This window comes from Homo sapiens, chromosome 8, assembly GCF_000001405.40.
Source record: "Homo sapiens chromosome 8, GRCh38.p14 Primary Assembly".
NCBI lineage: Eukaryota > Metazoa > Chordata > Mammalia > Primates > Hominidae > Homo > Homo sapiens.
The window spans coordinates 143,419,541-143,439,918 of NC_000008.11; the positions used below are offsets into that span (position 1 = coordinate 143,419,541).

The 20,378-nt window shown below is 65.0% G+C and overlaps 2 protein-coding genes across 2 annotated transcripts in view, besides 6 other annotated features; both read right to left on the reverse strand.

The window, feature by feature from the left end:
- Positions 2,953-3,540: an enhancer, noted in NCBI's record as "H3K27ac-H3K4me1 hESC enhancer chr8:144504663-144505250 (GRCh37/hg19 assembly coordinates)". NCBI's record gives its function as "activates a minimal SCP1, AML or CMV promoter by ChIP-STARR-seq in naive H9 embryonic stem cells {active_cell/tissue: H9 hESC(naive)}" and the evidence as "EXISTENCE:reporter gene assay evidence [ECO:0000049][PMID:30033119]".
- Positions 6,948-7,037: an enhancer, noted in NCBI's record as "active region_28071". NCBI's record gives its function as "activates an Ori minimal core promoter by ATAC-STARR-seq in GM12878 lymphoblastoid cells {active_cell/tissue: GM12878}" and the evidence as "EXISTENCE:reporter gene assay evidence [ECO:0000049][PMID:35858748]".
- On the reverse strand, positions 8,524-11,192 carry MAFA (MAF bZIP transcription factor A). Its single transcript, NM_201589.4, has one exon. The coding sequence runs from the start codon at positions 10,864-10,866 to the stop codon at positions 9,805-9,807; it is 1,062 nt and encodes a 353-aa protein (NP_963883.2). The 5' UTR covers positions 10,867-11,192; the 3' UTR covers positions 8,524-9,804.
- Positions 11,109-11,548: a silencer, noted in NCBI's record as "silent region_19622". NCBI's record gives its function as "represses an Ori minimal core promoter by ATAC-STARR-seq in GM12878 lymphoblastoid cells {active_cell/tissue: GM12878}" and the evidence as "EXISTENCE:reporter gene assay evidence [ECO:0000049][PMID:35858748]".
- Positions 16,227-17,012: an enhancer, noted in NCBI's record as "H3K27ac-H3K4me1 hESC enhancer chr8:144517937-144518722 (GRCh37/hg19 assembly coordinates)". NCBI's record gives its function as "activates a minimal SCP1, AML or CMV promoter by ChIP-STARR-seq in naive H9 embryonic stem cells {active_cell/tissue: H9 hESC(naive)}" and the evidence as "EXISTENCE:reporter gene assay evidence [ECO:0000049][PMID:30033119]".
- Positions 16,251-16,425: a silencer, noted in NCBI's record as "fragment chr8:144517961-144518135 (GRCh37/hg19 assembly coordinates)". NCBI's record gives its function as "represses an EF-1alpha promoter that drives an FKBP-Casp9 reporter gene in an ReSE screen in K562 erythroleukemia cells {active_cell/tissue: K562}" and the evidence as "EXISTENCE:reporter gene assay evidence [ECO:0000049][PMID:32094911]".
- Positions 17,013-17,796: an enhancer, noted in NCBI's record as "H3K27ac-H3K4me1 hESC enhancer chr8:144518723-144519506 (GRCh37/hg19 assembly coordinates)". NCBI's record gives its function as "activates a minimal SCP1, AML or CMV promoter by ChIP-STARR-seq in naive H9 embryonic stem cells {active_cell/tissue: H9 hESC(naive)}" and the evidence as "EXISTENCE:reporter gene assay evidence [ECO:0000049][PMID:30033119]".
- Positions 18,119-20,378, reverse strand: part of ZC3H3 (zinc finger CCCH-type containing 3) — a 103,789-nt gene continuing 101,529 nt past the window's right edge. The window contains exon 12 of the mRNA NM_015117.3: positions 18,119-18,547. Coding sequence (NP_055932.2) covers positions 18,516-18,547 — 32 coding nt within the window. The 3' untranslated portion in view covers positions 18,119-18,515. The remainder of the gene's footprint in view (positions 18,548-20,378) is intronic.

The window sequence follows — 20,378 nt, forward strand, 5'->3', positions numbered from 1 at the left end:
TTATTTACGTGTATGTGGGTGGGTAAGATTTAATGGCTAAAGAGTGCTAGACAGCGGGAGCCAGGAGTGTGTCTGGGCTTGTCACATGAATTCCTGCAGAAATAATTCTCTTTTGGAGAATGCTGAACGTCATACCTTCCTGATCGTAACCTCAACGTGGCCCTAAGCGCCCTGTCCAGGGCCCCAGAGTTTCTGAACTCAGCTTAAGTCAGCTCCCCAAATTCAGCAGAAAGTGGGAGGAGTTGGGGCTGTTCTGTCCCTAGTACACAGGTCTGGGCAGGGCTGGGTTTTACCTTCTGGGAAGGGCTGTGGAAGGGAGGGTGAGGGGACAGACCCAGCGGATGAGGGGTTTGAAAAGGAGGAGTGGGGACTGCAGTGATGGGCAGCGCACTGCGGCTGAGTAGGGGGAGGAAAGCCTTCTGGGAGCTGAGCTGGGCTGAGCTGGGGACCCCCCATGGATGGCAGCTCTGGGTGCCCCTCCCATGCCTGCTCCTTCCCTGCTCCCCTCCTGCCAGGAGCCAAGCTCTGTTCCCCCAGGCCCCTCTGCAAGCCCCACAGACGTGGCCAAGACATCTCCGGTCTTGGATTGGGGGCACCCCTGTAAATCCCGCCCCGGTGCACCTGGAGAGGCACATCCCACTCCACGCCCTCCCCTCGGAACAGAGCCCCCTCTTCCAAGAAGCCTTCTCAGATTGACGAAGGGCTTGCTGAACGGGTCCCTCTCTTTACTGCTCATGAGGCCCCTGTGTGGATGGCCGATGGGAGGAGCGTCTTCTTACAGATGAGGTGATTGAGCCCTGAGAGACGGCCCCCGCTCTACCTCCAGCTGGGGAAGGGCAGAGGTCAGGCCGACTCCAGTCCAGCCCCTCTGCCACCATGGCGGGGGTGGCCTGGTGACTGGGCCGGGGGGCTGGGGAGGTGCCCACCTGACCTAACCAAGGCCAGTGACGAGGTCCAAGGCCCCGTCTCCACCCACGCCCCACCGCCTGACCCGCCTCCAAGGCGATGGCAGCCCCCACCCTGCTCCAGAGAAGACGCGTGGACAAGGTGAGGAGGAGACCAGAGCCTTCCTCCCAGACTCGCAGAGCCACCCCCGCGCGAGCCCTCCGCACCACCCGCACCTCCTGAGCTCTCAGGTATGGTGGTGCCAGGGCGGTGCACCAAGCACCCTCAGATGTGCTGCGAGGCTGCCCTTCGGAGGCACCCGTGCCGGCCTCCTGCTCTTCCATAGGGCAGCGGGCCCAGGCAGGGCACAAGGCGGACAGAGTGTCCCGTCCCCCATGCGATACGCCCAGGACCCAGAGGGCAGAGACGGTGGGTGAGGAACCATCTCTGCAGGGAACCGCCAGCAGGAACAGAAGGGTGAGGGGCCGGGCCAGCGACCTCCCTGGACTGTGGCAGCTCCCGCCTGTGCCCCCACGATCCTCTCTACACAGAAGCAGGGGCCCCTGCTGCCCCCACAGTGGCCCCAGGATCTGTCCCCAGTTCCTCGCCGCCCTCCCTGCCCCCATTTCACGGCTGCTCCCCTGCAGCCGCTCCAGCCCCGACTTTATACACACAGGCCCAGCCACCTACGGGCAGGCGAGGCCTCCTGGAGGCCCGGCGGGCTCTTCCCCCTCCCTCCCCGCCCTTTTCCTCTCCCGATTTCCTGGCCACCCTCTGGCTTAGTCTGCAATTCATCTTCCCGTCTCTCTTCCCATACCTGAGCCTCGTGCCGCCCGGGATTGCGGCGCCCGCGCCACCACGCTGGGGTAATGGTCCCAGCACCGCTGCCCTGCGTCCTGCCGCGCCCCAGCCCGCGCGTCTCACACACCGCGACTGCGTGTCTACAGGTGCCGCCTCTTGACGCCTCTGCTGCACCGCCAGTGCCCCGCTCGGCAAAGCACAGCCCCTCCCCAGCACTGCAGCAAATGGGCAGGAGACCCCCGCCCGGCCGGGGGAGCAGGGGCAACGGCAGGGCCCCAGTAGAGAGGGTGGAGCTGGAGCCGAGGCCGGGCCAGGCGCCTGCGGGGCCTAACGCTTCTGAGACAGGCGAGCCGTGCTCCGTGCTCCGTGCTCCGGGACGAAGGGGGCTGTGGGGTCGGCAGAGGGCTTCCCGTGAGGAGGAGCACACCAGGAGTGCTGAGGCCGGGGGTGGGAGGCGGGCAGATCCCTCAGGAGGGTGGGCTGGAGGGCCGGGACAGCCATGGGCGGCTTCTGTGCGGAGGGGCAGCCTTGGGGTTGAAGAGAGGAGACCAGAGGCTGCAGGGAGAAGCTGGGGATGGGTGGGGTGGGCCCAGCCAGGGCCCCTGTGTTTGAAACTCCCTTGTCGCAGAGGAGCCGTGGGCTACGCCCCTCCCCCAGGGCATCAGCTCCCCTGGGGCATCTGTACCAAGAGCTGGGCAGAGGCGGCGGCTGGAGAGGGGCCACCCAGGGCATGTGGCTTCCCGGAGGACATGGCTTGTCCCTGAGACCCACCCCTCTGGGGGAGGTGACCAGACACCTGGGTCCCAGCCAGGAGACGGGAGCAAGGGTGCTGCAGGAGAAGGGACTCCGGGACCCTCCTTCCTAGAGAAGCCAGAGTCCCCTAGAGTCCCGCGGGGCCCCGCCAGCAGCCTGGGACTCTTCTGTGCCCAGCACCCTGCCTGCACGCTCACTGCTGCTCCCAGGCTGCTCCGGGGAGGCGATCAAGGCCCATGGGGCTGGCGCCTGGCATGTTCCAGATACCTCCCTGTGTCAGCCTCTGAGGACTGGGTGGGAGGGAGGCAAAGGGGCCATCCCCTGCGAGCTAGACCACGCTGAGTGGGTGCCGGGAGGTGCAGTGGAGTCGGGGAGGCCCCAGGGCGGAGCCCGCCACATGGGAGGGAGGGGCTGGGCCACAGACGCAAGTCAGGGGCCAAGGTGGCTCTGTCTGGGAAGGCGGTGGCCTGAATGTGGAGAGGAATTATCCTCCAGGCTGGAACTGATCCCAGCTGCCCTCAGGACACCTAACTCGGGTGCCAGGGGTCAAGGGCACTGGAGTCCCAGAGGCCGGCATGGAAGAGGTGGCAAGGCTCAGGGGAATGCCAGGGTTGAAAGGGGCAGCAAGGGCTGCGGCTGAGGGGCTTCAGGCCTGGTGGGCTGCTGTTGGGGGGCACCCCACCTTGCTGCTCTCCACAGCCAGGTTGGGGTGCCTGGGGGGGCGGGCCGGACCTGAAGGCCACAGGCCTCCTCCTGCGCCTACCCCTCCTGCAACCCCCACAGCCTCCCCCGCCGACCCCTTCATGCCCCCCCGCCCCCCTGCCCGGCGCTCCTCCCCGGCCGCGGGCTAATTGGCTGTGACAGCTGGAGCCCTGGGCAGCTGAGCGGTGTCACTGCAAATTAGGCAGGCGCTGAGCCCGCCAGCCGCAAATTCCTCTGTCACTGCTCCCCATGCGGACTGCCGACTGTGTGTGGGGGTCGAGGGTGTGGGCTCCAAGCCACTCCCACCTTCCTGCCACCTCCTGATTCGGGGTACACTCCCTTCCCCCATCCCCCACCTCCTCCGCCTCCCAGGTGAGGAAGCGGTTTCCCCTCCTCCTGGGCCAGCCTCCCGCCTCAGACCCTCTCCCAGGCCCTGCCTCCTCCCCCACAACTTCCGAGTCCTCTGAGCACCGGTCCCACTTCCCGGGCCCTGGCTGGCCCTGCCCCGCCAGTCTCCCCTGCCACCCCAGACTCCCTAATTCAGGGTCCCTCGGCCGCCACCCTCTCCCTGGGAGCCCGGGGATCCAAATGCCTCCTCTCAGGGACCCTGGAGGGTACTCCTGTCTGAGCTGCCTGCCCCCACCTCGAGACCCCCTAGGAGCCAGGCTCAGCCAAGACCCCGCAGGCCTCCACCCTCCCCGGCTCAGCCCACAGCCTCGGGCTCTCCCTGCTGACCCACATGCTGCACCCCCAAAGTCCACCCCGTGCTGCCCCTCCCCGTGCACCCTCAGGGATTACACCATCAAGGTCGAACACAGAACCTGCATCCACCTCACGCCCCGACTTTCCACGCGCCTCCCAGCTCCTATCAGGAAAGGTCTCCCCCAGGTCCGTCCCATCCACGCTCTCCGGGACCATCTGGGCCCTCGCCCTGGTCTCAGCCTTTGCTGCCCCCGACAACCTGCCAGGACCCTCAGCCTTAGGGAGGTGGGCCCCTGTGAGGGTGGGGCCAGGCTGGGCTTGAATCTGGGACAGCGGGGGCACTCAGGCCCTGCCCCGCACCCTTGCTGGGCCTCCCCAGCCCTCGGCTGGACTCCGTGGCCAGGAACTGCTGAGCAGGCACCCAGGCCCAGGGACGGCAGAGGTATGGCTGCTTCAGCCATGAGGGCAGCGGGGAGGAGTCGGGGCTGGGCAAGGGAAAGCATGGACCCCACAGGGCTGGTGGCCCTTTCCTGTCCTGCAAATGTCAGCCCATCACCTCTGTGTCTGACTCAGAGCCCCGGAGTATCTGCTTTCCAGAGTGGCTGGCAGGTGGGGAGACCAAGGCCCCCTGGGGAGAAGGCCAGGCTCTTCCTGACACCCGCCCTGTTCCACGTCCCCAGGCCCTGGGCCAGGGATGGCTTTGCCCTTCCTCCAGGCCCAAGGTAGGGGTGTTGGGTCCCCAGGCTCCCAACCATACCCAGTGGCAGGTCACAGCACTGGCCCTGGGCCAGGACCCTTGGTGACGCTGTGACCTGCACAGGCCTATCTGTCGGACAGGCCCCTTCAGGGCCCTCCAGGGCTGAGCCAAGTCCCTGCTGAGCAATTGGAGCCTTCAGCCCCCCACGATTGGCTGGGCTGGTTAGTGATGGTTCCAACCAGAGGGTGGCTGGGTCTTGCACCCCACATCCATCCCTGGAAGAGGGCGTGACCCTAGGGAGCCTTCAGCACCTGGCAGTGGAGGATGAGGCTTCCATCCTGGAGGGCATCTGGGCCCCTCACGGTGGCTCCAAGGACCAGGGCTGGGAGAGAGGTGGCAAGGAGAGGCCAAGGCAGCCAGGGCAGGGCAGGGCCAGGACCCCTCCTCCCGGACAGGGTGGGCTGGGCTGAACCGAGCAGACAGTGGCTGAGGACCGCACTTCACTGGAGAGGCCCATGTCAGAGCCCACTGTGGCCAGGCGGGACTCAGCATGGAGGACCGGCCCAGACAAAACCATGGGGTTGGTTTGCGTATAGGGCCGGTGGGTCCACATGCATGTGTCTGGGTGTAACTCCACCCTCATGTGTGCCAGCCAGGTGCACGCGTGTGTGTACGCAGGGCCACAAGTGTGTCTGCTGTTGTGTCCCCGGGTGGGTAGAGTCTGCTCCCACATTCTGGGCTGTGTGTATGTGTGTGTGCCCGTGCATGTGTGCACGTGCCACAGCGTACCCACCCTTGTGCTGGGGCTGGGGCAGAGGACACTTCCGCTTTGTCCTGGCCCTCATCTCAGAGCCGGCTCTATAGGAGGCTGGGGGGGCCCTGCCGACAGCCACCACTGTGACGTACTGGGGGGCAGTGGGGGGAGGAAACAGGGCCACACTTGGCCCAGCGCCTGGGAATGGCAGAGGAAGGAGGGAAGGCCCTGGCCTTCTCCTGTGAGCACCCCCAGCCCAAGCCCTGTGCGTGGCTGACGGGGGCTTAAGGCAGGAGACCAGTGACCATCCAGGTGGGCTGTCGGGCCCAGGCGAGCGTGTGTGTGGGGGGTACAGATGGGCTGTCGGGCACGGGCGAGTGTGCGCGTGGGGGGGTCCAGGTGGGCTGTCGGGCACAGACGTGTGTGTGCGTGGGGTCCAGGTGGGCTGCGGGCACAGACGTGTGTGTGCGTGGGGTCCAGGTGGGCTGTCGGGCACAGGCGAGTGTGGGGGGAGTGCAGCCAGTGCTCCTGCTCGTGTGTCCAGTGTGTGCCATGGGTGTCCACCCAGGCCCAGGGCCTTAACCCCGGCCCCTTCAGCCTCTCCCTGCTGTCTGGGAAGACACAGCTCCCATTGGTGGGAGATGGGACACAACTCCTGGGGCCACATATCTGAGCTGCCCCAGGAACACTAGGTCCTCACGCTGCACCCTGTTCAAGGCAGCCTCAGGCCCCAGCCTCCCCTCTCCCAGGGCTCACGCGGGGGCCGAGTGTCACATGCAGGACACTCCAGTTGGTGTCTCCCTCCGGAGCTCTTGGGCCAGGGCTGTCACCTGGGTCCCTGCTGTGGGCCCCCAGTGGGCAGTAGGGTGGGTAGGGTGGTTGCCAGCGTGTGTGGGAGACAAGCTCTGCCCTCTGGGCCCAGGCAGCCTCCTCCAGGAAGGCAGAGGATGGCACCTTCGAAGTGCCAGGAGTCCCTGCCTGCCTGCTCTGGTTCTGGGTGACGGTGGCGGGGGCAGGGGGCACCCAGGCCAGGCACCATCACTGACCTCTGGGGACATCCAGGTGGGGGTGGGGGTGAGGTCAGCTGCTCTTCCAGGATGGGTCAGGGGCTAGGGTCCCAGGAGCTGAGCGGCGGATGCTGTGGTCGCCCCTTCCAGGGGCCCTCCAGCTCCCCTCAGCCCCAAGCACCTTGGTGCTGCCTTGCACACAAGGGACACACATGCTCACGACTGCCGTTGGCACTCCAGCTCTGCTGCCCTCCAGGGCTCCAGGCCCAGTGAGGAGGAGCTGAGGGATCTAATTCTCCGATTCCTTGCTGGCCACACAACCTCCCTCAGCCAGGAACCCCAGAGCTGCCCACCCTCCCCCGCTGCCGGCTCCAGCCAGGTCTGGCTGCAGCAGCCCCTCCTGAAGGGTCACACTGGTCCCAGGGACTCCCTCGGGGCAAACTGAGGCCTCCAGCCAGCCCTGCCAGCTGTACAGAGTCTGGGTCAGGTGTGTGCCGCTGGTCCAGGCCTGTGCTGTGTGGGTGGGCACGGGTGCAACTGAAGCCAAAGGTGCTTTCCACACATGGCCATCTTCCCGCGGGGGCTCACGGAGCCCCCAAAATGGTTTTCAATAAAGCTCTGTCTCGGAACACAGGAATAAGAAGTCCCCTGCCCGCAGGGGTCCCCGCGTCCCGGTGCTCACCTGCCTGCTCCACCTTGTGTGTGGCGGAAAGCAGGGGGACAGACGAAAGAGAGAAAGAGAAAGGGGAGAGAAAACAGAAAACAGGAAAGTGAACTGACTCCAGCAGCAGCAGCTGCTAAGGTCCCACAGCTCGGGCCCGGCCATGCTGCGGAGAAAGCTGGATCCGGTGGCAGCCCCGGCACGTGCCGCAGTGGGGTTCCTCTGAGTCCCAAACCCAGCAAGCCTCCAGCAGCGCCCGCAGGCCCCGTGCACCAGGAAGCCCAGTTCTGGCCCCTGAGTGCAGGGCTCCCAGACGCCTGGGGTGGGGGTAGGGAGCAGGGAGGGTGACACAGCTCCCTGCCCGCCGCTCCCACCCCAAAAAGGCCGCCTCTGATCCAGGCTGCCAGAAGTCGCTGGGTCCTGTACTTTCTCGGCCAGGGAAAGGCTCTGTGCAAAGGGCTCCTGGGGGCGGCGATGGTGAAAACTAAGGTGTCCCATGTCCTCTGCTCTTTACAACTTCGGACTATGAAAAACGAGCCAGCAGATTCCCGTCCAAGAATGTGCCCAAGGCTCCCCGCCCCTCCTTGGGGAGAGATGGCCTGTGTAAGCGAAGGCCCGGGCCGGGCGGCTGAGCCACCCGTGGCTGCCTGGAACCCGCCTGTCCCTGCCGGCGTAGTCTTTTCAACTCCATCTTCCGCCCCACATTTCTGTAATTCCCACCAGCATTCTCCTCCACAGAGATGCCTTCACGGCCAGCTCCCCTGCTGGGATTCTGCTTGAACTCCCGCAGAGACCCAAAAGCAAAGGGGGAGGCGGCAGGGACTGACGGAGGACTCGCCTTCCTCTCTTCCTCCAGGTCTCTCCGCTTGAAACGATAAAACAAACTCAGGAGACTCACTCACAGAGGATTCCGTCCCGTCCCCAGAAAGAACCTCCGCTTACCCCCGATGGAAAAGCAGCACAGCCCCCTCCCAAGAAAGGCGAGTTTGGAAGCCCTTGCAGGCCAGAAGCCCTCTCTCCAAATTTGCAAACCACGGACCCTCGCCTGCCTCTCTTCCGGCAGTGAAGGGAGGGAACCATCAACGACGTGTCCTGCAGCCGCCCTGGGCCCTGTGAACTGAGATTTCTGGGGTACTGCCTCCTCCCCTGTGCTCCCAGTCCATGCCCAGCCAGCCGTTCAGAGGAGCAAGGGTAGGCTGCGCCTTCAGGTGGGAGACGGGCAGACTCCGAGGGCTGGGGACAGTTCTGGCCACCAGGATGCAGCGGTGTGTCCCACCAAGGACACCTCCTGCCCTGCACCCCCAGCCTGCCTCAGTGACTCTCCCCAAAAGCCCCTCGGCCTTCTTTGCCGAGGGCAGACGCAGAGGGCACAGGTCTGCGGGGTGCAGGCCGGCTAACGCTGCCTCGCTGCTCAGTTTCTCCCTGGTCCTGCCGTCACCCAGGGCCCGTCCGTCACCCAGGGCCAGCACAAAGCCCAATGCAGGGCCCTCCTCTTCCTTCAATTCAGGGAGAAACACGGCAAAACTGAAAGCCACCGACCAACCAGCCAGGCTGCGGTGACTTGGATCTGAACAGATTTATTTTGTGTATTTTTTTCTTTTTCTCAGTTTCGTAGCAAATGAAAAAAGAACTCAACGAAAACCAACTACACAACAAAACTTTCAACGAGTCGGCGCGCCTTCCACTCCGAGTGCTCAGGGGAGGGGTGTGGAGCGGCTGGAATCCCACTGATGGCCCCTGAGGGCCTCCGAAAACGGGCAGATCCCCCAGGCGCCTGGCCCAGCCTACAGGGCCTGGAGCACCCGCCTCCTCGCCCTCTCTCCCGGCTAGTCCAAAGAGCGACGAAGCATTAAAGAAAGATTCCACAAACAAAACGAAACACAATTTAAATTAAAATAAAAACACTTTCTCCACCCGCCCCATGCCAGAAGGCTCTGGCCCAAGCCTCCTCTTAAAAAAAAAAATTTTCTGCTAGAAATACTGTGCATTACTTTTTTCTTTCACTTCTCTTGAAGGTTAAAACAAGATGTATTTCCCCAGGAGTTACAGATATGTTCTGGTGCATAGAGAGACAGCAGCTCGGGATCCGGGCCAGCCCCCACCCGACTGAGCACAGGACTCACCCCCCTCCCCCCACCCCCGGTTGAGCATAGTAGGACAGCAGGCCTGGACACAGCACGGGTGACGTCCCTGGCTTCGACCTCCAAGGAACGCCGGTAGCAGGGTCGGGGGCAAGCGGGGAGGGGGCAGGCAGGGGCCGGGCCCCTCCTGGCGAGCGACTCATGCTGTGACTCGCGACTGAGGGCGGACCCCGGCTGGGGAAAGAAGGGGCTTCCTCCAAGGTTTTCTTTTCTAATCACCAAGCATAATAATTATAAATACTTCGAAAATAAGACCGATTTTAAAACGGGGAGGGGAAGTTAAAAAAGGCAAGGAAAGGGAGGCTGAGAAGAGAACGAAGGAGGGCGGGGGCAGGCAGGGGCCACCCGGGAAGGGACGGCAGCGCGGTCCCTCTAGGCTGGCAGGGCGAAGGTGGGAACGGAGAACCACGTTCAACGTATGTACAAGCGGACGCTTGGAAAGAAGTTAGACCTGGCTCAAGTTTCCTTAGAAATCACCGTTCTCCGCTCAACCTCAGGACGGCGACCCGGGCCGACGCGCGCGAACGGGGACCGGGAGCGAAGGGGCCTCCAGCCCCGCGCCCGCAGACTTGGCACCGGGGCCAGCACGGCCGGGCCGGGCCTGGTGTCCACGTCCTGTACCGCGGAGTCCGAGCCGAGGCCCCGAGAGGCCTGCGCGAACTTGTCCCCGGCGACGGCGGCGCGGGCTCGGGGTCCGGCGCCTACAGGAAGAAGTCGGCCGTGCCCTTGGCCCCGCCGGGACCGGCCTGCGGCGGCGAAGGCTCCCGCGGGAAACCGGCCCCGCCCGCGCTCCCGGGGCCGCCCCGGCCCGCCAGCTTCTCGTATTTCTCCTTGTACAGGTCCCGCTCTTTGGCCAGGCGCCCCACCTCCAGCTTCAGCTGCTCCACCTGGCTCTGGAGTTGGCACTTCTCGCTCTCCAGAATGTGCCGCTGCTGCACCCGCTTGAAGCGGCAGGACTGCGCGTAGCCGCGGTTCTTGAGCGTGCGCCGCTTCTGCTTGAGCCGGATGACCTCCTCCTTGCTGAAGCCGCGGAGCTGCCGGTTCAGCTCGCGCACCGACATGGACACCAGCTGGTCGTCGGAGAAGCGCTCCTCCAGGCGCACGTGGTGGCCCGCGCCACCGCCGTGTCCCGCGCCGCCATGGTGGTGGTGGTGGTGGTGGTGGTGGTGGGCGGCGTGGTGATGGTGGGCGGCGTGGTGCGCGCCGTGGTGGTGGCCGGCGCCCATGTCGTCCGCTCCGCCGCCGCCCGCGAAGCCCGGGCCGCGGAAAGCCTCGTAGGCTGCGGCGGCCGCCGGGTGGTGCGCGCCGTGGTGCGCGCCGTGGTGGCCGCTGCCGATGAGCGCCTCCACCGCGTCCTCGGGCGTCAGGTTGAGCGCCTCGGGGTTGAGGTGATGCTGGTAGCCGCTCATCCAGTACAGATCCTCCAGCGCCGGCTTCCCCGAGGTGCCCCCGACGGCGCCGGGGCCCCCGCTCGGCGGCCCGGGGGCGCCCCCGGCCTGAGACGAGCCGCCGCCGCCCCCCGCGCCGCCGCCGCCGCCGGTGCCCGGGCTGGGCGCGCAGAAGCTGGGCGAGGAGGGCACGGAGGAGCAGGGCGTGCTGAGCGGCGTCGAGGACAGCGAGCCTGGCGGCAGGCGGTGGCAGAAGCGCTCGGCCTCGGGAGGCTCCTTCTTCACCTCGAACTTCATCAGGTCGAAGTCGTTGACGTACTCGATGGCCAGCGGGCTGCTGGGCAGCTCGGCGCCCATCGCCAGCTCCGCGGCCATCGCCCGGGGCCCGCGCCCGGCCGCGCCCCGACGGGCGGCGTGGGAGTGGGGGGGGAGCTGCAGGCCTCTCCCCCCCCTGCTCCCCGCGGGCGGCGGTCCCGGCGGGGGCGGGGGGGCGCCGGCGCGGGGCGGCGGCGCCGAGGGGCGCAGGGAAAAGTTTCACGTGGTCAACTCCGGGGCGGCGCGCTAGGGGCACCGCTGGCCAGGTGTCTCGGGCGACCCCGGGCCCGCGTCGCCGCCTCCTCCCCGCGGCCGCCGCCTCGGGCTGCTCCGGGACCGCTCCCGCGCCCCACCCGCGCCGCCGGCCGGCCCCGCCTCCCACGGCTAAACGCGAAGCCGCGCGCGCCCCTTTATAGAGCCGGGTGCCTGGGCCCGCCTCCCCGGGAGGGGCGCGCGCCCCCGGGCCAATCGGAGCCCCAGCCCCGCCGCCCTCATTTGCTTATCCCCATGGCAACTCAGAGCCCAGCTGTCAATCTCCTGCGGGAAACAGCTGTGGGAAGAGGTAGGGACGGGCCGCCGGCTAGAGGAGAGGGCAGGGCCCTCTGGTGGCCATCACGGGGCACTGCACGGGCAGAGGGCGCGCCGCCTCAGGGGACAACTGCCGTCTCCAGGGGCCTCAGCTCCCACACCCGGCGGCCGGAGAGTCCGGGGAAGCAGACGGGGACCGCGCCCGGGGACCCCCTCGGGGCCTCGTCCGCCTCGGGCCACGCGGCGGGACGCCCCCTCGGCCCCCTGGGTTTGCGGCCGGGCCTGGGGGCCGGGGGCAGCTCCGCTAGCGGCGGCGGCGGCGGCAGCGGGACCTCCGGGCCTCTGGACACGGGTGACACCGCGCGGCCCGGCAGAGCGCGGCGCGCTGAGCCGGTTATTTTTAGCCCGCGGCTCAGACGCGTTCAGGAATTTGGTCAACAAAGTTGCCGGCACCTCCGGGCACCGGGAAGCACGGGGCGGGCGGAGGGGGACACACGCGTGCGGGGCGGCGCGAGGGGCCGGGGACGGAGGGCCGGCTTGTGGGGGGCCGCGGAGAGCGCAGGACTGTGGGGGTCGCGGGACAACGCGGGTGGGTGCGAGCGGCGGGGGCGGGGCCCACGGGCTGGCAGCCCCTCAGGGCGTTAGGAATCCCCGCCCAAGCGGCCACCACTGCCCACTTTCGCCCCCCGCAGGGCTGGAGGCGCCTTGCTGGGCCTGGAGTGGGACGGGGGGTAACTGAGACGGGAAGGCGGGGATTTCCACCTGGCGGCCGTGCACCTGCTGGGAGGAGACGGCTCCGGTTCACGGGGCAAAGGAGGTGACGATGGGCGGTGGGCCTGTGACCCCAGGTCCCCGACACCAGCGAGCCGGGTGATGGGAGGGTTGCGCCAGGAGTTACAAGGCCGGTGACCCGAAGTGGGCCTATTGTTTCTTCTCGAAATTCTCTCCATTGCTGTTCTATGACTTCAGCAATTTAAAAAAAAAAAAAAAAAGTCTAAAATGTAACCACCTGTGTAGAGAAAAAAAGCCTGGAAGGAGTTGCGCAGAGGCCACAGGGAGGCCTGGTCACGGCGCCGCAGATTTAGTACCAGGCTCTCACCTCCTTCCCTCTACAAAGATCTATTGTTTTGTAACAAGAAGACTGTCATGAAGTGAGGACTGAACATCTGCTTCCTAAGGTGTCTCGGGGTGTCCCTGGCCCTTCCCTGGGCCCTCCCACTCCTCTGGGCAGAGCTGGGACTGCTGATTTGGGAAGACCAGGCCTTCCTCCCCGCAAGGGAGGGCCAAGGACAGCATGAGGACCCACCTGCAGGGACCCCTCTCCCCCGATCCTGTCCCAGAGGGGGCTCTGAGCTCCCCACCCTTCTACAGATGAAGAAATGAAGTGGGCATGCAGCAGAGCCAAGTCCCCACACTGGGTACCTGGACTTGAGACCACACGAGTGGTCAGCCAGCCAGGGGTGTGGGGTTTCCTTTATGGCACCCCGTGTTGAGAGGGAGGCCCGGGAAGGGAGGATGCCGCCGCGCAGTGGAGCTGGTGGTAGTCCAGGTTGTCTGCACCTGCAGCCCCAGGAGAGGCCTTGGGGCTACAGGGCCCTCCCACGGCCCCTCCAAGGGTCTAGCAGCATTTCTGGGTACCACACCCTGGAGGCCCTGGGGCACACTGGAAAGGGGGTTGAGGAGGAAAGAGAGAGTGTTTGCACCGGGCTGTGTCCCCACTGTCCCCCCCTCCCGCCCATCGCACTGTGGCTCCTGCCAGGCCAAGGAGACCAGGAGAGGGTGTTTGGTCACCAGCCCAGGAGGACTCCAGCACACCCGTGGGAATGAAGGAGACGCCTGACCCCAGGCTGTTGCAGTGGGAACCTTCCCCGGGGCCACAGCTGTGACCTCAGGCTGAGGGACGCTGACCCCACAGCCATGCTTGGACTCAGTGGCACCCCCATCCCGCCACCACCCACAGGAAGCCTAAGTGCCTCATCTTGCTCTGAGAGGTGGGAGAAGGTGGTGGAGGCTGGGGTGGCCTCAAAGATTGACCCCAACCCATCCGCCCCAAGCCTGCCAAGCCCTCCTTGAGGCTTGGTGCTGTCACCACCAAGCCAGGATGGCTCCCTAGAATTCGCCTGTGCTCCGCTGTTCCCTGGGCTCCCAGAAGCGCTTTCCCTTCCCGCCAGCCTCCCAACCCAAGGGCTTCTCACACCCTCCAAACTTTCAGCATTTGGTCCTCACAGAATTCTGCAGGGGCAGTCTGTGTGGCTGGGTAACTCAATGCACCCAACAGGCTTCTCTTGAGCACCTAGAGTACGTCAGCCAGCCTGCCTAGGGGGCACATCCCATCAGGGAGGTGGCCAGGGTCCCTTGTTGAGAAGCCCCCTGGAGCTTGATGGCACAAGTATTATTTCATCCATGGGCTCTGTAAGGGGGAGATGTGTCCTGGGAATAGGGGCACAGCTTGCCTCTGGTCCTGACAGCTGGGAGGACTTGGGGGTTGGGGTAACGGGACAGCTGATGGATGGTGCCACTGGGCAGGGTCTTCACACCCAGGCCTGGCAGATGGTGAGAGCTGTCGGCCAAAACAGCTGCTTGTGACACCTCCACAGGGCTGCTCCCTGCAGCTGGTTGGGCTTCCTCACAGCATGGCTGCTGGTTCCCAGTGTGTGCATCCGAGGAAGGTGGAGGGGTGCATGTGCCTCAGAACACTGCACCATGCTGGTGGTCCTCGTGTGTAGAGGTCGGCCACCCCCCTGGGCAGGGGTACGGACACTGCCTGTGTAGGTCATGTGAGGAAGGGGCCTGTGGGCTGAGATGCACTGTTGTAGTGTTTTTGGAAAATACAGTCTGCCGAGTGGGCCTCAGAGAACAGAAAATCAGCCATAAAAATAGTAAGTAAAATGAGGCCGGACACAGTGGCTCATGCCTGTAATCCCAGCACTTTGGGAGGCCGAGGTGGGCAGATCACAAGGTCAGGATTTTGAGACCAGCCTGGCCAACCTGGCAAGAGCCCGTCTCTACTTAAAAAATACAAAAATTAGCCGGGCGTGGTGGTGCACACCTGTGGTCCCAGCTACTTGGGAGGCTGAGGCAGGAGAATCGCTTGAACCCGGGAGGCGGAGGTTGCAGTGAGCCGAGATCACGCCAGTGCACTTCAGCCTGGCCAACAGAGTGATTCTGTCTCAAATAATAATAATGAGTAAAATGATAGTGGATTTGCCTTCTATTGCTGTCTCACCAATTACCACACGTTTAGTAACTTAACACACATTTATGGTCTTGTGGCTTCTGTGAGCCAGGTGTCCAGGCAGGGCTTAGCAGGAGCCCCCGTCCAGGGTGCAGTCTAGGAGGTGGCCGGGCTACAGTTTCAACGTGGGACGAGAAGGGCTGTGCCACCAGGCATCGTCAGGCTGTTGGCAGAATTATTTCCTTAAATCTGTACAACTGAGGACCGGCTTCTTGCTGGCTGGAGGCTGGAGGCCACCCTGAGCTCCTCACCAGGTGCAGCCCCAGCACAGGCCCTGACGCCTCGGGCCAGCAGGGAGAGGCTCTCAGCGGGGCGTAAGGTGCCGTGATCACAGCTGCGGCATCTGGCCACCCTCCAGGAGTCTGTCGGAGGAAAGGGGTCACCCAAGGGTGGGAACGCTGGGCAGGGGGGTGCGTCATGAGGCTACCTCAGGGCCTGTCCCCCACACTCGTTTGTGAGAAGGCGGAAGCTTGGCTAGGTGGGGAGTTCTGGGTTGGTGGGGTTGGGGGGCCTCACAGACACCTGAGCAGATGGAGGGGCAAGCCCTTCAGGCCGGGGAGCAGGGAGCCCAGAGCCACTGCCTGGGAGGGGCCTGGAAGGGCCCAGGGTGGCTGGGTCAAGATCAGAGCCCATGGGGGCTGGTGTAGGGCCCAGGAAGTCATCGTGGGCCCCCAGAGGGCTCTGGGTGGAGGGAAACCTGGTACGAGGAGGGACAGGGAGGTTGGGGTGCTCACCAGCTGAACCCCACAGCTCCCTCTGCTGTCCACCATGGGACCCCACGCAGTCTGCTGTCTGCTGGGGCCCTGAGCTCATGCATTTTACTGCAGGGAGGGGCCTGAGGGGACCCTCCTGGCACGGCTCCTCCACCCCTGCCAGAGCACAGCTGCGCAGGAGGGCTGAGCTAACCCTGCCAGGCCATGCGTGGACCTCCTGAACCTCACCCTGCTGCCCCAAGAGTAAGTGCTCGGAACTGCGTAGAGCCTCGCGTGGGGTCTGGAGTGTCATTTTTGGGGCATGTATTTAGGTGGGAGAACCCCCACACCCCCAGTGCCCGCGTTTGCTGTGCGGAGCTGATCACAGGAGACAGAACCTTCTCCGTCCCGCAGACAGAGGCTCTGCATCTTCTGGGCTAGGGGGCTGCTGGGGCTGCCTCCACCCCCACCCTGCTCCTGCTGCCCGGGCGCCCCTCCTCCACTCAGGGGCTCATTTGCATTTAAAAACGACAACCAAAAAACAAGCCCAGGGCCTCCTGAGAGTCCCTCCTCAGCCTGTCGCTGCTCTGCCCAGGGCCTCCTGAGAGTCCCTCCTCAGCCTGTCGCTGCTCCGCCCCTTCCTTGTGCCCCTACTCAAGCACGGATGGTGCGCCTGCTGTATGCCAGGCGCCAGTCAGGGCACTCGCTCAGCCACTGCACGCCCAAGCTCCCTGCCCTCCCGGAGCTCCCGTGCTGCTGGGCGCTAAGTGAGGCGGGGTCAACGCCCTCAGCCCAGAGGCAGGATGGGCACAGGCCTAGCCCAGGAAGGTGCTGGCGCTCCCGGCGGACCCCCAGACACTCTCCCTTCGGTCACCTCCCAGCCCCCAGGGGCATCCAGGCCAGCATCCGACTGCCCAGCCGGCACCCCTCCAGGCACACAGGGCACAGAACCACACTCTGAAGTCACTGCTGCACCCCTGCTCGCCCATCCACCTCCCGCAGTGGCCCTGGACTCTGCCCACGGCTCCCACCTCTGCGGCCATCACATCTCCCTTATAAGAGACAACAGCGCTAAGACCCATCTGCTTGGCGCTGGGGGGGTGCATCACCTGCCTGGGACCCGGCCGTGCCCCGCCAGGGCTCTGAGGACCCCCCAGGGTGCTGTGTGCTTCCGCTTCAGGGTTTCCATCCGGCTGCCCCAGCACACACCACTCTGCTGCACGCACAGGCTTGGGTGCAGGGTTACGCCCTCCTCTCCTCAGGAAGCCTTCTCCTTCCCTGTTCCGACCACCCCAGCAGGGGACATTCCACCAGGCTGTCCTCAGCTGGGGCCATGGTCAATACAGGGGCAGGGACTCTGCTAGTCCCAGCCTCCCAGGTCCCTTGGCCAGGTGCCCTGGCAGTCACTGGTCTGCTGCCAGCTGCCCCTTGGCATGAGGGGCCTCGTGTGACCAAATGGGCACACTCCATGCAGGGGAAACGCAAGGACTTGAGACCAAGCAGAGCCCAGGCTGCACAAGGTCCCCAGGTGGGGGATTGGGACACCATGGTGGCCCCCTGAAGGCAGTGGCCAGCCTTTTCTGAGTCTTCCTGCTGGCCACTCCTGGGGGGGGCTGCATTTGGGGACAGTGGACCTGGCCCTGAACTGCCATCACACCCCCTTGCCCAAGAGCAGTGCCCTGGGCCTCCGAGTGGCTGTGCCGTGTGTCAGATGGCAGCGCTCACGGTCCCAGACAGGCGCTGGGTGGATGGGGAGCCTATTCCCCAGCCCCCACGGACGTTTCACGTTTCAGGGGCTATGTGCCAGCCGCAGGGTGGCCAAAGGAAGTGGCACCCATGGGTGGGTCCAGCTGCGCACCGGGCCTGCGGCAGACGCTTCCCGGTGGCACAAAGTGAAGTTAGAGGATCTGGCCGCCTCATGCCCAGCCGGTGCCCACCCTCAAATCTGGGGTCCCGAACAAGGACACAAGCCCCTGTGAACACTTGGGTCTGGGTGAGCTGAGCCAGTGTTGGAGGGGACAGAAGCCAGCTGGGCACACCCCACCCACAGCTCTGGCTTCCAGAATCCGCCATCCCACCCGATCCGGCTGGAATCCCAGCAGGGCCAAGGCCACAGGCTGGGTCCCAGGGCCCCAGGGTAGAGGCCACAGCGACGAGCACTGTGGAGAGAACCGGAAACTGCTGCCGTGTCACCCAGCACTCGCTCTGGTGGAACCGTCGCACGAGCCTCACGCCTCGTCCCCTCTGATGCCAACGTCAGGACACCCCACTTCAGGGTGGAGGCCGCGACCTCAAGGGGGCGGAGCATTCTCCCCGCCCGAGTGTGGACCAGGCCAAGGGGCCCCGCGGGGTGTGGGGTGGGCAGTGGCAGTGCCACCCACCCAGAGCCCAGGCAGGCAGAGGGCACAAGGCTCGTGCATCTGACTCCAGGCTGTGCCGTGGGGCCCCTGAAGGTGTTGCTGGCCTGCCTCGCCCAGGGGCCACCCCCCATTTCTTTGGAGGTGAGGAGAGGAGCCTTGCCCCTCCAGGCCTTGCCTCTCCCAATCCAGGGTCTGTGGCACAACCTCAGCCAGGCCTCCTGGTCAGGCCCCTCCAGCACGGGCACCCGTGCAGGGCAGGGGAACCGGGAGCTGGCCGAGCTGCCCCACCCACCATGGCTCTAGCCTGTTGCATCCGGGTCCCCAGAGTGCCCCCTAGGCCTTCCCCACCCCAGATGGTGCTGCTCAGGTCCAGGGAGAAGCGCCTTCTGACTTCTGAACCATCGTGGGAGGTAGGAAAGGGGCCCCATACTCCTGCCCAGAGGGGCGGTGCTTTCCGCCTGGCGGTGGCATGGCAACAGTCAGGACAAGCCAACCAGTTACGGATAGAACCTTTATTGCTGAACATAAAACACCTGCCTGGGAGGCCTGGCCAGTGGCCTCTTCACTGGGCCGAAAACCTGGGTGGGGAGGGCTGGGGGCTGCAGGGCCACTGTTGCCAATGGCAGTCGGGGACAGGCCTGGAGGCCAGCCCTGCCTGGCACCCTGGAAGGTGGTGGGGTGGGGACAGGGGCCTGGCTTGGGGGAGGAAGACCAGGCCCTGCGCACACGCTGGTCATGGAAGGTTGAGGGCCAGGCAGGCAGAGCAGTGTCCCTGTGGCCCCCAGGTGAGGCTTGGTGGCGGGCGGCCCTCCTGTGGGGTAGAGTGGTGGACAGAGCCTCTTTCCTCTCCAAGGATGAGGGTCTGAGGTAGGTGCAGGCCGGTCCCTGGGGTCCTCACAGACGTGGTTTGATGTGCAGAGGCTTCCCTATGCAAAGAGGGCAAAAGTTAGGTGCCCGGAAACCCCTGGAAGAACCTCCCCAGCCTGCAAAGCTCCTGATCGGGCTCAGGATCGGGGGGCTCTGTCAGCCCAAGCACACACAGCAAGGTCTGCAGAGATACCCTCCTGAGTTCGAGGGAGAAGAGCACAGACAGGCCACAGGCTTCAGCTTCTGCCCCCTGCTGCCAACAGGTCCTGGTGAGCCTCTGTGGCTGTCTAGCCATGGTGCAGGCTCAGTCTATGAGGTCAACTGAGGCTTCTGCCTACAGTCCAGGGGTCCTCCTGGGCGGGCGGCAGTCCCGGCCACAAGGTCTGCAGGGTGGGCCATCAGTACTGGTGCACACAGCACCAGACTGCCCTGCACGTTCAGTGAGGCTGCCAGACACACGAGGCGGCCACGATGCAGCTTCCATGTGGAAAGCCGGGGTGCACACAAGCTGTGGCGGGGAGGGGCAGGAGCAGAGCAGAGGCCCCAGGGTGAGGCGGGCAGGGCCTGGAGGCAGGCAGTGTGGAGGGAGCAGTTCCCCACAGCGGGGAAGCCCAGGGGCTCCTGCCCCATGAATGTTCACTCACTGGGTGCCAGCGCCTCTCCTCCCTCCCCAGATCTCCCCTCCAGACCACCCGACAGGCACCACAGTGGCCCGCTGAATAGAGATGTCTCCGTGTAGCTGCCCACAGGACTGGGCCTGCCCAGGTGCCCCTCTTCAGGGCCGATGAGCCCGCTCACCCATGCACAGCTGAGTCGGGCCCAGCAGCCAGGGCCCAGGCTACAGACTACACAGGCTCTGACCCGTCAGCCTGCCCCTGCGGTGGCCGCTCCAGCAGCAGCTCCAGCTTCCTGCCCAGAGACTGTCCCAGGCACCTCCACCTGCCCGAGCTCCTGGCCATGGCCAAGCAGGGGAGGTTTCTGCAGCCTTTCCCAGGCCCCGCCCAAGGTGCACACAGGACCCCTCAGCACCCTGCCCACCTCCACTGGCTCTGGAACTGGCTGCTAGGTTCCTGATCTTAAAAAAAAAAAAAAATACAAGTCGCTGCCTCGGGGCCCCATCTGCTCCCCGACCCCAGAGAGGCCCACCCAGATGGAGGGAGCGGGTGCCCAGGTCTCGTGGGGCGGAGGGTCTGGCCACGGCTCCACGCCCCTGACGTGGAGGCTGTGAACAGGAGGCGGCCCCTCCGAGGCAGGCATTTGAGTGTGCTCAGCGGAGCTGTTGCAGAAGGCTGCAGCAAGCATCTTCCATTAACGTTACGACCGTGAAATATGACAATAAAATGATAGCCGTATGGTCGCAAATTTGCAGCCCGCCGAGCTGCGTGGGGTTTATCGTCACTCAAACGCGCGGAGAGCTGTAAAATGTTTACAGAAAGGGTCGTTTGCAGCCATAAAATCCTCTTTTCTCTCCTAAACAAGGCTGAGTGGAGCCATTTACCAAGCCCCAAATGCTCATCGGGGGAGAGGGAACATCTGTTCTCTCCAGGAGTGCGTGGTGATCTTCCAGAACAAATTAACAGAAATGGGTGCTTTCTAATTAAATCAGCCCTCAGCTGGGGCAGACTGCGCAGCGGCCACCGCTACACTCGCACCTTGGCTGGCCCTGCCCCAGGGCTGGCAGGTGCACCCCTGGCGCCCGTGGGACTCACCCAGGCCCCACCTGGAGATTCTGACGTGGTGGTCTGAGGGGGCATTTAAAGCTCCCCTGTGCCCGAGCCCGGCCATGCTGCCTACCTGAGCCCTTGGTGAGGGGGGCCCTGGGGGCCTGAGCCAGGCCATGCTGCCTACCTGAGTCCTTGGTGAGGGAGGCCCTGGGGGCCCGAGCCAGGC